The 15,781-nt window shown below is 38.6% G+C and overlaps 1 protein-coding gene across 1 annotated transcript in view; it reads right to left on the bottom strand.

Annotated features, from left to right (window-relative positions):
- ARHGAP24 (Rho GTPase activating protein 24) overlaps positions 1-1,354 on the bottom strand; it is a 527,517-nt gene extending 526,163 nt beyond the window's left edge. The window contains exon 1 of the mRNA NM_001025616.3: positions 945-1,354. The gene's annotated coding sequence lies outside the window, so the exon portion shown is untranslated. The remainder of the gene's footprint in view (positions 1-944) is intronic.

The following is a 15,781-nucleotide window of genomic DNA, read 5'->3' as shown; positions in this document are numbered from 1 at the left end:
CCAAATACTCAGCACGATTTATTTATTTCCTTTTTAGAAAGAGATGAAACAATGATGCCGTGGAAGGTTAAAAAAAGAGTAACATAAAATGTGCTGGAAACAGAAATTACTTGGAGAAATTACTTGTTTAATTCAAATGAATTAAACGAGATATAGTCTACAAAGAAGTCTGGGCTCCCTATTACTGGTTGATGCTGAAAATCTATCTAAGGAATTCAGAGTAACATTGTCTCCCTTCTATTTGGGTACGTATAAAATAAATGTAGTCTTAAGTATTTTCTAAAAACGAGACCATATTACATGTTTATCATTAAATGTTATTTTTAAAAACATTTGGACAAAATCTTTTGAGTGGCTTCAAATTCACCAAAGATTCCCTAACGTTTTGTGTTTACAAATATATGTATATATTTTATAATATATATTTCTAATATGTAATATATTTATAAATATTTTAAAACATATTTTATACATATAAAATATATATTTTTGCAAATATATATGCTTATTATTAAAACCTATCTTTGTGCGCCTGTTACATAGGGAACTCCTATAAGATACTAGAGGAAACAAACAAGGGGAAGGGGAGGATGGATACCAAGAGAGGAAATTGAATTGTACAAAGGGTTTTTATTAATTCCATCTATTTTTAAAGCCAGAAAGACATACTACCAGCTTGCTGTCTCCCGGCACAAACATGCGCGCGCGCGCACACACACACACAAACACAGACAGGCTACATCAGCACGGGATTCCTGCGATCCCTCCCCGCCCCCCGCAGCCCCCTCCCCGCCCCCCGCAGCCCCCTCCCCGCCCCCCGCAGCCCCCTCCCCGCCCCCCGCAGCCCCCTCCCCGCCCCCCGCAGCCCCCTCCCCTGGCGCAGGCAGCCGCGTCCGTCCTTCCCGCGGTAGCTCCGCGCACTTCCTCGCGACCGCATCACCTACCTTGCTGGGAGCTCAAGACAGATGCCGGACAGGGCTGCTGCTCCGAAGGAAAAGGCTCCCAGGACCAGCAGTAAGAAAACGCAAAGAAAAAAAGGTGGTAGTGAGGCTCCTTTACTTTCCACAACAAGGGGAAGTGTTGAACTCTATGCACTGGGCTGCTCCGCAGCGCGGGTTTCGGAGGAAATAGGCGGCCGAGAGAGCTGCGCCTGCGATGGGAAGTTGGGGGGATTCCCCCAGCCACCCAGCCACCCCCGCCAGGCTCCTCTCTGGTCCCCGCCGCAGCCTTGACAGCTCCCCTGGTCTCCGAGCCCCTCCAGAGCCCTGCTGGTTTCCACCCGGAGCTGGGCTGTGTTGCCACATGCACTTGAGAAATCCTAGCAGTTGCGCAAAGAGTCCCAGAAGTTAGAAAGGGTGATTGTGTGTGAATGTGTAAATATACAGTACAAGAGGCTGGAACAACTGAGTGGGGCCAACCCTCAGACACAGCTCGAGGTTTCAGATTTCATTTGGCAACTGGTAGCTTCACAGGACTCGAGCCGCACTACAGGGGAGGCCGGCAGGAGCCCCGCCCTCCCAAAGCCTGGGTTATCTGAGAGCTGGAGCTACACCGCCTGGCGCCACTGACAGAATGCGCCCTGCCTGGTTCCTCCGCATCTGGCATCGCTCGTTCCTTTCAAGTGCATCATAGATACTTGTTGGCCACAGATCTGGGGCTGTGGGCGCGAGAAGGTTGGTGAATACATGTCTCCTGCCCTCAAGGAGCTCTGCATTTCATTGGCCAAACCCCATACACCGGTTTTACTTGCTTCTACCAACTCTGTCTCGCTAACATTTTATTTCTCCAATTAGAATTACCTGGGCCATTAAAGCAATATTCCTGGAAATGCACATTTAGATGGATGCTCTCTAACTAGAGCCTTAGAGAAATTCAAAGTATAATTACTTTCTTACGGTGGTGTAAGAACTCTCGGAGTTACACAATATGGGACAAAAGGACAAACTAGTAAACATTGTTTTGATGCAGGCCGTCTCTTCCCACCATCACCACAATGTCTGTTTCAAATTGTGATCTTACAGTTCTGGTTACCTGGCATGCTGAGTCAAATTATTTCAAAAAGCTTTGTAAAGATCTCTGTTTTAGAAACCCACTTACAGTGGATCAGTCATGCAATCCTAGCACTTTGGAAGGCTGAGGCAGGAGGATCGCTTGAGCCCAGGGGTTTCAGACCAAAATTGGCAACATAATGAGACTCCTGTCTCTATAAAAAAAAAATTAAAAAAATAAAAAAAAAGTTGGGCGTGGCGGCGTATGTCTGTAGTCCCAGCTACTCAGGAGGCTGAAGCGGGAAAATCCCTTGAGCCCAGGAGGTCAAGGCTGCAGTGAGCTATAATTGTGCCAGCGCACTCCAGCCTAGGTGACGGAGTGACACCCCCGTCTCGAACAATTACTACTGCTACTACTAATAAAAGAAACTCTCTTTTAGAAATCATCACCAGATATCCTTAAGACACAGAATGGGGGTGTCCTCACTAGGGATCTCCAGTGAGAGAGGGATATGGAAGAAGAGCAAATGTTTAGTTTTAGAAACACCAAAAATAAAAGGCTGAGTGGACACTGATATGTTTTTCCTTTTTGTCCTCTTTCTCCAAGTTCTTGGAGAAACGAATCTACCCCATCCCATGCTGAGGTCCTACTATAAACTTGATTTTCTGGTGGGAGAATTCTCAGCCCTTTAATGAATCAAATTAATTTGTGTGGGGAAAAAATTGCGTTTCATATTTCATTTTAAAAATATGTATGGAATTCCTAAGCTAGAAGTAATGTAGCTTATTTTCCAATTGGTGGGAATAAATTACCTTCATCAACCCACATGGCCTTACATGTTCTAGCAACACCCTAGCAGGTGAATGCTGATGGGCAGTTTCAGATGAAAGCTGGAAAATAACATTAACCCAAATGAAATTTGCACACATTTGATGGACTCAAAAGCCTCAGGAAGACAAGTACCAATAATTATGATTCAAGATGGGGACATTTAAAAAAACAAGGAAACTGTCATGTCAGTAATTTATTTCAGGGTCTAACAAATATTACCACAGCAGTTTAGTCTCAAAGTGATACAAAACTGAACTCAGGGTGGTTACTGGGTAGTCCCTAGTCCAAAAGATTAAGACACACCTCTAATACACACACAGGCTGTGTTCAAGGCCTTTTCCTTCCCATCTTCTGGTTCTGTCTCCACCCTTTCCAACTGATAGCACTTCATTGGTGTGTGTGATATATGTGATTATCTTAAGCTAGAAAGTACAACAGAAGGAGAGGATGGTTGTCACTTGGGGATTAGACAGTTGAGAGGATAGGAAAGGAGTTATATCCACCAATACAAGCCCCTTCTTCCCCTCCTACTTAGAAAGAGGTGGACCATTGCATTCCTTTTCTAGAAGCCCCTCAGCAAGGAGTCTGTTCCAAGAGAATATAACCTGAACTAGAAACTGCGTTGTTTTCTGGCCTCTGACTATACTGCTCCTCTCTTATTGTAGATTAGTTGGGACCAAGAGACATTCCTTATACGTATTGTGGCATCTTTAAAGGAGAGAATAAACTCTTGAACAAGACCCTTGAAACCTGATTCTAATCAGAGGAGAATGCTGATGTGACTGATACAGACTCCAGGGAGGTGGTGCCTGACATTCAGCTCACTGGATCTCTGCTCAGAACTTGCCCAGAGGGTTACTTAAAGCTGAGTTTTATCAGTCAACCTCAATTCTGAGTTAAAGGTGTGCTTCAAACAAACTCTACAAAACCCAGAAATGATTCAAGGATAAGGGCTAACTTTCCAGGATCTTCAGGTCCTAGACACCTTCAGGAAAAAAGTCTATGAAAGGTCAGTATAATGGCAGGCAGAGTTTGAAGGACTTCAGTGTTTACAGGAAGGATGTATAATACTTTAGGACCGGGGGATTCCAGAGATCTAGAAATGAAAGCAGAGGAGGAGAGAAGGAAGATAATGGCTATACTACATCTGGACAAGTTGTTTGAGTGTTGGTATTGCCAGAGTCAAGGAAAGAAACCCCCTCCATAGACAAAGCCCCCTGGACACTGATTCTATCAGGCCATTCTTTCAATGGAATTTAGTTAGGGAAACCTCAGCCAGTGTTTCTACAATTACTTTGTCTAATATTTAAAGTATATGGGTCAAATGTTACTATTAAATGAGTATGGATTAAAATGTATTTTAATGTACTTCACTAACTTAAAAATTGCAAAGTTTTTCACCAGATTCCATGTCAGATTCTTTGAAAACCTTAGCATAGAGTGATTCATTGTCATATTACCCAATTGTCCATTAATATCAGATACTGAAGCTTTTTAATTACATTTTCTTTTAAGAAAACATAAATTCCTAAGAGGGCAAAAAACACAGTAACAAAACTGAATAGTCAAGAATTGCCAAAATCCTAACATTTTCAACAAGCTCTCACCAACAATGCAGAATTTGTGTGGGTACTGGGATTTGCCAACATCTGATTTCAGGATTCAGATAGAAGGCTATGCCTTTTAAAGCATGTCTGTTTCTAAACATCTGTTCTTGTTTTTTCTTTTTATTTCCTGGTAGAAGTTTCTTTTCTACAAAGTCCAGCTTTGTCTGAATTACTAAGTAAGGTGGAAAGAGATTAAGGGAGCTTTGTGCCCACCCTCTCCAACACTTTGGATCACATGATTCAGGGAAAGATGTATTATTATTGTTAAAATGGTGGGGAAGGATCAATCCAGCTAAATACCTGTAAATAAGATAATAAAGGAGAGAAAGAGCATGATAGAAAAATAAGCTGTGGCCATGGGTCATCCATGGCCTCTATAATTCCAACACATGCCTTCTAACAGTCAACAGCTTTATAAATGAAACACATTATGTGCCCATTCAGATCCTGAGAGGAGTGTGGTATCAACCGTCACCACACTTTCTTTGAATTGACATATTTTTGGGTCACACTCTTTCATCTACCAGACCCCCAAAGTAGATGGTTCCAAAAATATCAATGATTAAATTTACTTTCTAAGTACTGTCTATTGGTTTTTGTCTAATTACAAAATTAATTAGTTCAACTCATGAAACTTGGAAGCTACAGAGAAGCTTAAAAGAAGAGATTTAAAACTGCCCATGATCTCCCCACTTAGAGATAAGTAATAACATTTTGAATATGTTGAATAAGTCCAATTGTTTTTTTTACCTCTGTGTATGTGCCTATTTTGTATAATGATTTGGATCATGTTACTAACCAAAGCAAGATCCTTTTGGCCTGGGCCCAAATTCAAACCTTAGTTTCCAATCAAGATGTTCCTTTTTGAGACAGTGTCTCACTCTGTCCACGGGCTGGAGTGCAATGGCCCCATCTCAATTCAATGCAGCCTCAACCTCCCAGGCTCAAGGGATCCTCCCACCTCAGCTTCCTGAGTAGGTGGGACCACAGGCACGCACCACAAAGCGTACATAATTTTTAATTTATTTTGTAGAGATGGAGTCTCCACAAGTTACCCAGGTCTCAAACTTCTGGGCTCAAGCGTCCTCCTGTCTCGGTCTGCCAAAGTGCTGGGCTTACAGGCATAAGTCACTGCTCCCGGTCTCAGAATGCTTCTTTTTATGCTGTTTAAACCTAACTTCAGGAATTTGCTGGATTCTGTTAAAGAATTAATCTCGGCCGGGCGCGGTGGCTCATGCCTGTAATCCCAGCACTTTGGGAGGCCGAGACGGGCGGATCACGAGGTCAGGAGATTGAGACCGTCCTGGCAAACACGGTGAAACCCCCTGTCTACTAAAAATACAAAAAATTAGCCGGGCGTGGTGGCGGGCGCCTGTAGTCCCAGCTACTTGGGAGGCTGAGGCAACAGAATGGCGTGAACCTGGGAGGCGGAGAGATCGCACCTCTGCACTCCAGTCTAGGTGACAGAGCGAGACTCCATCTCAAAAAAAAAAAAAAAAAAAGAATCTCTCGCTTTCATGATATGCAGATTTTTCTCCAATCAGCTCCCAGAGAAACTTTCTGCTTTATACCTGCTGTGGTCATTTCTAAATCCCTTACTAGTCTAGAATTTCCTTGTGCTTTGCTGACTCACAATTTCTCTAAGACAACCTTTAATATGCAGTCATTCACATTTTAGCTCACCACATTCTCTATCCTTTCTCTACTCCCTTATAAGTACAGGCATATGTGTGTGCACGCACACACACACACCATGAACATTCATATCACACATGCATACTCATAAAGTGAAATATTTCTCCAGACATGCAATTGTTCACTTATGGACTCAACTCTTAGTGTAATACTGAATGACATTTAAAATATTTAGAAATCTAATTGCACCTGAGCAGCAACAAAGTGGGCTTACTCTGACTACACATGCCATTTTGTAGATTTCAAGCATGTTCACATTTTGGAATCTTTTCTTTTCAGTTTTTTAGAAAATTAAATACTGCCATTGAAATAACACCATTCTTCTCCCAAGAATCATTATATAGTATTCCTAAGTTACATGTGTGACTTTTAAAATAGCTTCCTATTCCCTTATACTCAGGATAATAGAAAGCAAGTTACCAATAGGTTCTTCACATTCATAATTCATGTTTCTAATTGCATTGTCATGTATATTCCAAACCTTATCATCTGTCTGGGAAATCCTCATTTCGTCCTATTTTCATCATATCCCAAGCTCTTTAAATAATGGATTTTTTTGGCATCAGTTCCATTCTTTCCCTCTCTCCATTGCCTGCTTTATCTCATCTCAGATAATTTAAAATTAAAGAGAAGAACATTTACCTCATTGTACATTCTTACCCCACTGATAAAAGAATACACAGTCAAGATACAAATCTAAGCTGTTAAAACTGTTAAAGAACTCAGATCCCAGGCATAACTGATCCCATTGTTGATCAAACGTTAGATTTGATCAATATTTGGATTGCTGACTAGAAAATTGGAGCTGAGGTCATTGTTTTAAGTCATCTAAAACCAACTAGATTGTCAAGAAGATTAAAATGTTTTATTGTTATAGAGTGCAGACAGGACCATCAACTTACTCAATTATCTTCCGTAAAAACTAGATAAGAGAGTGTAAATGAATCAATATAACTCATCCAAACATATTAATAATGATAATAATAAAATAAGAAGAATATTCCTTATGGTTATTAATGTGCCTTTCCCATATGTGGTCTTTATTGCAGCAGCTATGAGAAATTTATCCTTATTTTCACTTTGCAGAAGAGAGAACAAAGAGAAACATTGTATATATCTTATTCACAATCATATAAGCTAATAAATGATGGAGAAAAGATTTGAATTTAGGCTATTCAAGTACAAAGTCTGGATTCTTTTCACTGATGTATCAGCAACAGCATCTCCCTATGCAAATAGAGACAGCACAATTTCCCTTTCATATATCACTTATATTGGCCAAGTGTTTGAAAATAATTATTATTACATTATTTTGTGAGGAGGAAGATTGTTGTTCTCCTACAGACCAATTTTAAATCCCACTTAAAGTATTAATTTTAATGTCCTACACTATCAGATCCTTTATTCAAGTTACTAACCAATAGCAAAATTAACTGTTCTTCTTCTTATTCCAACCAGTAGCAAAATTAACTGTTTTTTTCTTCGTGCTCACCATCTGTGAGAGGTGCTAATGGACAGTGAATTGGCCAAAAAGCCAAGGGGAGTATCAGCAAGTGGAATAGTAAGTGGTTCGGATAATTCATGAACTTGAAAATTAGTCCCTCAATACTGAGTGTTGTATTCAAAATCTTAAAACTAAGATCTTGAAGGGAAACTAAAATAAAAATTTTGAAATTATAAGCTTGGTTTTTTAAGACATAGTAAAGATAGGCTGAGGCTGATTATGTAAGAAGTAGTGTTGGGGATAACTAGTTCCTTAATATTTGAAAAATGACCAAACATAAACTTCCTGGAAAATCAATAAAAATAATGGAATTTTTGAAAGATTTTCAAAATAAACTAGGAGGATATTCCAAGAAGATAAATGTTAAAGGAAAGTTCAAGATGTGGGCTATTATGCAGATAAAATAGGACTACAAAATTATTGTCCTCTCCTTTTCTTTTCTTTTCTTTTCCCGAGTTTGTGTTTGAAAATGAGAGCAAGCAAGCTTTGTGAAGGCTTACTTTGCAAGAATGGCGAGCTTAGGCCGGATTGTAAGATGAGACTCAACTGGGGCTCAGGCTGGGGAGGGCAAATGGTAGCATTTCTAAATGCTGAGCAGTTTGTCTTGATGTCTTCAATGGAAGACTTTCTTCAACCTTGTGTACTTTACTCAAGAATAGACAGGTGAGTAAAAGAGGCTTCTAAATGGTGATCATGAGGAATAGTAGTCCCAAGAGTTGGAAATGGAGGCTCTTGAACTTCAGCCTAAGACACTGATGCATTTTAAAGAAAAATAGTCCTTTTGGATAGGACATTAGATGATTCCATTCAAATGTTCTCTGACTCAAACTGGGGGAAAATAATTCCAAATTCAAGAAAGGGAACTGTGGCTCGGTGTAGTGTTGCTGTAGTCCCCACTACTTGGGAGGCTGAGGTGGGAGGATCACTGGAATGCAAGAGTTTGAGGCTGCAGTGAGCTATGATTGTACCACTGCACTCCAGCCTGGGTGACAGAGTGAGACCCTGTTTCTTAAAAAAAAAGAAAAGAAAGAAAAGGGATTGAAAAATCAAAGGACAGAGAATGAGACCACCTTTTGGGTAACCTAATAATTTTAATAGTGTTATAGAGAAAGCTTCTCTGAACTGGGTTGGGGCATGGCAGTGCCCAGCATCTGTAGAAGCAATCAGCAGCAAGATCAATCCCAGCTGTTCCTTCAGGTTCAATCCTGCTGCAGGTGAGGGCTATGAGGTAAGGGAGCAGATAGCAGCACTGAGATCTGTGATGACTTCCAGGGAGAAGACATAAGCTACTCAGTACTCTGTGAGAGAAAGCTTAATTGGATGGGGATTTCCATCATTCCTGCTAGTTGGAGACTTGGAGCTTAAAGTCTAAAGCCTAGACTTTAACCAGTTCATACACATTCATTATTAAGGTAAAGTTCTCCCATATTCCTGTTTAAGGTTTTTTAAACTTCTGTCAATACTCAAGTACTATCACAAAGAATTAGAAGCACATAGGGGAAGTAGTTAAGCCCAATAATGGTAATTTCATAAAGCAGAAGCATATTGGGAGAAATTAGCAAATTCAGGAAAGTAGCTGGTTGTCATATACAGAGATGCCTCACTTACACAGGCACAAAAGTGTGTAATACCTCCTAAATGTGAGGCCCAGCGCTAGATGCAAAGTCAATTCAGATTTGTCTGTGTTTTCAAGAAATTTACATTCAATCATTAAGAATGGGTGAACAAAAAAGATTTAAAGTGAATTTTCCATTTTCCTCTAAGGTAATGCAGAAACGATGTTGCAATATGAACATTTATTCTTAGCTAACATCTAGCCTCTGAAAGTTACTAGCATCATTTTCACAGCAAACAAAAGACTTACTTCTTATACGGTAATGTTATATCATTATTTTAGACAGACTCCAGCTAAGACTTTAAACAGTATGTGAAGATATTTTGACATATTTTACATTTTTGCTCATTTGTTGTTTCAATTATCAACACATTGCTATAAAAACCAGAAGACAATGGCATAGTTAATATGAAAATTTCCCATGTAGGTTTTTCTTGGCATCCATTGCACAGAATCTCTGGTTTTGAACTGTGCAATTAAGAAAAAAACACTCTTTTATAAGTAAAGACGGAAATCTAATGATAGTATCAAATCTTCCGAAAATCAGTTTACAAACATTAAAATAATTTCTGGATTGAGCATTCCACTAAGAAAGCCTAACACAACAACAAAAATCTTTTATTTTAACATTGAGCTTTAATTGCTTATATTGCCACACTTATTTCAGCCAAAAGGTGACAAGATATATAGAAATATAATTTGTAGGCTTAAAAGTGATTCAGAAGTTGTTTATTTTTTCTACTTCTCCTTTGCTTTTGGGGGTGATTGTTGTAAACACTTCAATTTCATTGGGTCTTAATAAAATTAATTGTATAAATCAAATATTTAAGATTAAGTGCCTTATAATGTATAAATTGATTTATTAACCCCTCATAAAGAGTGCCCCATTGGATTTTTAAAAAATATTTAGAATCAAATGGTTACTTAAATAATAAATTTTGCACATGAAGAATCTATTAATTTAAAATTTTTGAGAATAAGGATTTATGTTAATTTTTACATGTAAAGAAAAATACAATGATAGTAAAATTGTTCTTTATAGTGAAAAATGCCAACTGTAGAACTAACATGCTTATCTGAATTTAACCTTGTCTATGTTCAGTTTCTTTTAAAAGGTTATCATATTCACAGGTTATTTAAAATAATCTCTAAACATAAAGTCCAAGAGGCCAAAAATTAAATATTGTTAATATGAGTATATTGTTAATTAAACTGTGTTACACTCATGTTGATTTTATAAGAACTGGTTACATTTCCTAGGAACTATCATTATGTATAATCTACACAGATAAACCCATTAATAGTAAAAGTTTGCATTTGCAGTTCATCGAGGTAGATTAGTGGCCTATGGTTGCATTTTTTATTTAATAACTACAGGGATTCCCCACTGAAAATTGCCTTTTCCAAGGTGAGCACACTGTTCTCAAATGTAAACTAATAGTCTATAAACACATAGCTTTGTAACAACCTAGGAAGCTATGACAGATTTATGTAATAACTTCTTCTTATACTGCTAATGAGCTTTAGCAAGTCAACTTATGGGTGTTTATCAGAACTTTGTGTAGGTTTTGAGCAGTCATGAGACTTTAACATAAAAAATGAATTATTTATTTAAAAGGCTACAATTAAAAGATCAATATGTGATCCACATTGAATGATGTTTACTAATATCATTGGTCATTTCTGAGCTCAATAAAGATTTATTTACTATATGAAATGCCTTTTAATTACTCTACATAAAACCTCAATACTCAGAATTCAGGGGAAAAAATTAAAATCAAGCTTGATTCTTTGTTTAATTTTATTGCACTTCAATTGCAAATACAAATATAAAATAAAAGTTTGCATTAGGTTATAAGAAAACATTCTCATGGAAAACAGCAGGTAGATGTCAGATGTGTTGACATCTACACCATAATAATCCACTCTCTTGTCTCTCAACTACTTGCCCAAGTAGACATTCCCAAGGAGACATCCCTTGTGAAAAGCGACCTATGCTTTTCCCCTCCAAATTCCCTATACCAATGCCACTATCCTGGGGTGACAGGGAAAGGGAAGAACAACACAGAAGTTTTGTGTTTGTCTGAGAACCAAAACATTGTAGGTCTGAACAAAAACTCACTAAAATTGCCCTTTGTATGTATGTAGAAGTTGTAAGTAATAAATTGTAAATTAATACTGAATTCACAGTTTTTGTGTCATGTATCTTTTATTCATCAATAGGATACTAAAAATACAACTACTTACATGTGAAAGGACTTTTAAATATTTTGACATTAAAAGAGTTCCCAAGAGGTGGGAAAAGACTGTGAAACCTCTGCTTTAGGGCCTCACCTCTCCTGCAGTGTTGCCATTGTGCTTTGAAAGTGGAAGAGTACTGCAGGGAGGGAGGACAGATGTGGGTTATAGTTGGCTGCAACAACTCTTCTCTGATAGCATACACAACACTAATACATTACAGAATCCTCTGCAGAGCAGTCAGGGTCACAGCAATTTTTAGAGTCCACAGTCTAAATATTCTGCTACTAGTTTTACTAATGGGGACATGAGATAAATGTGCACTATTGATTTCTTATAAAAATTATTGAGTTTGTTTCAAAATAGTTTAATCATTATTGCTGCCTTTAATAGAACTCATTATAATGGCTGTCATGAGTCTGTTTAGATGGTTCCACTATAATTCAATTTTAATTAACTTGATCATTATTTTTAACAATGCTAATAAACAAGCTATGCTACAACCTTATCCTAACCTTGGCTCTTTTAGCACAGATTTAGAGATTTAAACCTTTTTCTTTCTTTTAAAAATTGCTATAGTGATACTCAGCAAATTACATTATTAAAATCAGTGAATTTCCCTTTTCATCAGTCTTCCATTAGCAACCTTCAATATTTTTATGTTCTAAGAGGATTTCAACTGCCTTCCTGCCTGACCACACGCTTCATATCACAGCACACAAGGGCTATGGCATGAATAACGTGTACATTGATGTTTGCATATTATAAGCACAGAGGTTCAATTACTTTATAATATATTCATAAAACTGCCAGGCATTTTAGATCCTTTGGAGAAAATGAGGATTGTTTAAAAACAGAAGTGCTCAAATCTCATAGTTCAATATACAATACAATTTGGATATTACTATTAACATTATGATTTCATGAGTCCTAGAAAACTACACATACCAGAATCTGCTCCACTTAATGGAGTTGCAAAGGGTGGGACCAAGAGGCAGGTATAAAACCCTGCAAAAATGTCATCAATGCTAATCAACTTCCTAGAAACTCCCAACAGGAATCAGACCCACCTATTCCATAAGATCTATAGCTGTGCACTGATGATTTGTCTTTTGTTCTTATTTTTTGGTTGTTTGGCACCAGTTTCTTCAAATTATATTTTTCACTTGCTGGCTGAACCCCCCTGACCTCTCTCTCTCTCTCTCTCTCTCTCTCTCTCTCTCTCTCTCTCCATATATATATATATATATATATATATACACACACACACACATACATATATATATACACATACATATATATACACATATATATACACATACATATATATACACATATATACACATACGTATATATATACACATATATATACACATACGTATATATATGCATATTTGTATATATGCCCTATTCTACATGTATTCTGTAGGTATTCTAATAATGAATTCAGTCTCATTGTTCTGTTTAATTGGCATTCTTCCCACGAGAGATTTTCTTTTCAGATGTCTCCCATTGTCTCCCCATTCATTTCATAAGTGTCTTCTGTAGCTGGGAGTCATTGGTGTCATGATGTTACCTCATGGGATTATTCTGAACATAGAATGAATTATTGCATGTGAACTGAGAAGCACAGTGCCTGAAGCATGGAACATACTTGATTCCAACCATTCAATCCTAGGAGATTTTCCTTAAAGTCTTGCTACCTTAACTTATAGAAAATGACCATTTCTTTCATTCTCTAAATGCTCTCTGAGACCTTGACCTTCATGAGGCTCCAGAAAAGACATTATAGAACCAAATCTAGCATTGATCACATAAACACCAAGTGGTCAACACAGTCAGTATGAACACTTGTGGAAAATGCTGAGAAAGACAGAGATTTCAAAGACAAAAATTAGGAAGATGTTCTTTGGGAAGCTGGCAAGTTCACTCAGGTATCAGTTCTACCTAATTCAAGAAAACGAAATGCTGTCCAATCTTCCAGGTAGTTCCTAATATATATACAAATGACTCATGCACAACTTAACTAACCAAATGGTGATTGAATTTCCCATCCCATCCCTGGAATTCCTCTACTCTCCCATTTTATCTTCTCCCCACCACTCATCCCCGTTTTAACAATAGTCCAGAAATAACCCACGGTTGGATTTGTAGAGCTAGGCAAGGGTTGCTGAGGACAGAGGAAAAGGGATGGCAGTTCCCTCTTACACAGGCCTTGTCCTATCTCCTCTCCTCCTTTTTGTGCCTCCCTCAGAGGCTCCCTGTCTCCACATCAGAATGCCTGCTCTGGCTTCTGGGACAGAATGCCTAGGATGGCTTTCCTGATATAAACTGACTGTATATTCTCTCCTAAATGAGGGCACATCTCAGTGCAGTCTGTTATATGCCTAAATCCTTGTGTGAGCAATGGAAAGGAATGTAATTCTCAACTCAAGTGTCTAATTTCAGAAGTGAGTTCCAATGATTTAAGACTAAAACACAGATTCTTCCCTGAGACCGAATAGTGGCAAGTTTCAGAATTAGACCTGAAAAGTGATTTTCCCTTGTCTGTCCCCATTTTTTTTTTCTTAAAAAGAAGCTATGGGTTAGTTTCAGAGACAGGAGATACAGGCCAAAGCTGCAGAGACTTTGTTTAGTCACAGTCAACATGGAAGAAGATCAATCCTTGCTAAAAGGAAAGGGCTACTAGTGGTTCTAAAAACAAAGAAAAGCTCAAGAGACAATAGGAAAACAAGATAGGAAGCAAGCCCAGAATGGAGCAGGATCTCTGAAGATTTGCAGTGCTCTAGGTAGCTCCAGATTCTCGGCTGCCCAGCTCATAGCTGTAGGAGTCCTTGGTTCCATTGCTTAGTGGTTATGTGAATAGGATGATGGGAAGCCGTCTCCCCTGGTGGTTCCCTGCAGCAGCTGGTCCTACTTTCCTAACAATATTTTCACATATAGATATTGTTCACGTGGTGGATAGGTCCTAGAACATTTCTGTGTGATAGAATTATACTTACATGATGGGATACTGTCCTCAAAATATTAACCAAGGTATTCTTTTTTTCTCGTGTTCCATTCTTCCTGTGTCTTTAATCTTTGAGTTCATTTGCGTCAGGTCGAGGATGGTCCAGGGGAAACAACGAAACAACTACCACCAAAAAATAGGTTCAAAAGCCTGTGACTCTGAATGACAGGATATATTGTTTACTGGGATGGAGACCGTACCATCAATGGTAATAGAAAGTCTAGTAAACATAGGGCTGGGCGTGGTGGCTTACACCTATAATCCCAGCACTTTGGGAGGCCATGGCGGACAGATCACGAGGTCAGGAGTTTGAGACCAGCCTAGTCAACATGGTGAAACCCCATCTCTACTAAAAATACAAAAATTAGCCGGGTGTGGTGGCAGACACCTGTAATCCCAGCTACTCAGGAGGCTGAGGCAGGAGAATCACTTGAAACCAGAAGGTGGAGGTTGCAGTGAGATGAGATCATGCCACTACACTCCAGCCTAGGCAACAAGAGCAAAACTCCATCTCAAAAAAAAAAAAAAAAAAAAAAAGAAAGAAAAAGAAAGAAAGAAAGAAAGAAAGAAAGAAAGAAAGACTAGTAAGCGTAGACAATAGACTGGGGAACCATCACTGTGATTTAGAGATAGCTTTTAATTCTGATCTGGAAAGAATTCTCCAATGTGGAGAAATACAGCAGATAAAGGGGATGTGGTACAAGAGAGAATGAGAAACAAAGGGGTGAGACCTAGAGCGAAACATAGACTTGGGCAGGGTCATTATCTAGAGATGGCCAGAACTGCACTAAGGGAGCATGTCTACCACTCCCACACAGGAACTGCATGGGAACTGAGGCCATTGATAGTGCAGTCTCTATCCCAGTAAACAATGTAGACTGTGTGTTCAGAGAATTCTTCTTAGGCCCTCCCTTTGAGATCTAGTGAAGGCCTTCTTTTTACAGCCCCCAACTTTTATCCATCCAGCAGAAAAATGGACCAGCTGCTCAAGATTTCGCTCAGTTATTATGTGACCTTATGCTACCATCTACATGGAAAATCTTTCAACTCTAAACTTGTAAATAGGCAATAGAGACAACACGACAAAAAGTGTTCTTCCGAAAAACTAAAGGTACATGGCGGGTAGTAGGAAATACTCTCATGAACATGTAAACCATCATGTTTTAGGAACCTTAATGGGTAAAATCAGATATTGTGGCCCTGCTAAGAAGTTTACTTCATTCCAAGATACTGAAGTGTTTAAAAGGCTAATGTAATAAAATCTGTGTGTAAAACAATGGTGGTGTAAAGAA

The sequence above is a fragment of the Homo sapiens genome, chromosome 4 (assembly GCF_000001405.40).
Source record: "Homo sapiens chromosome 4, GRCh38.p14 Primary Assembly".
NCBI classification, from domain to species: domain Eukaryota; kingdom Metazoa; phylum Chordata; class Mammalia; order Primates; family Hominidae; genus Homo; species Homo sapiens.
Note: the sequence above shows the minus strand (reverse complement) of the source record. Positions and strands in the feature narration are given on the sequence as shown.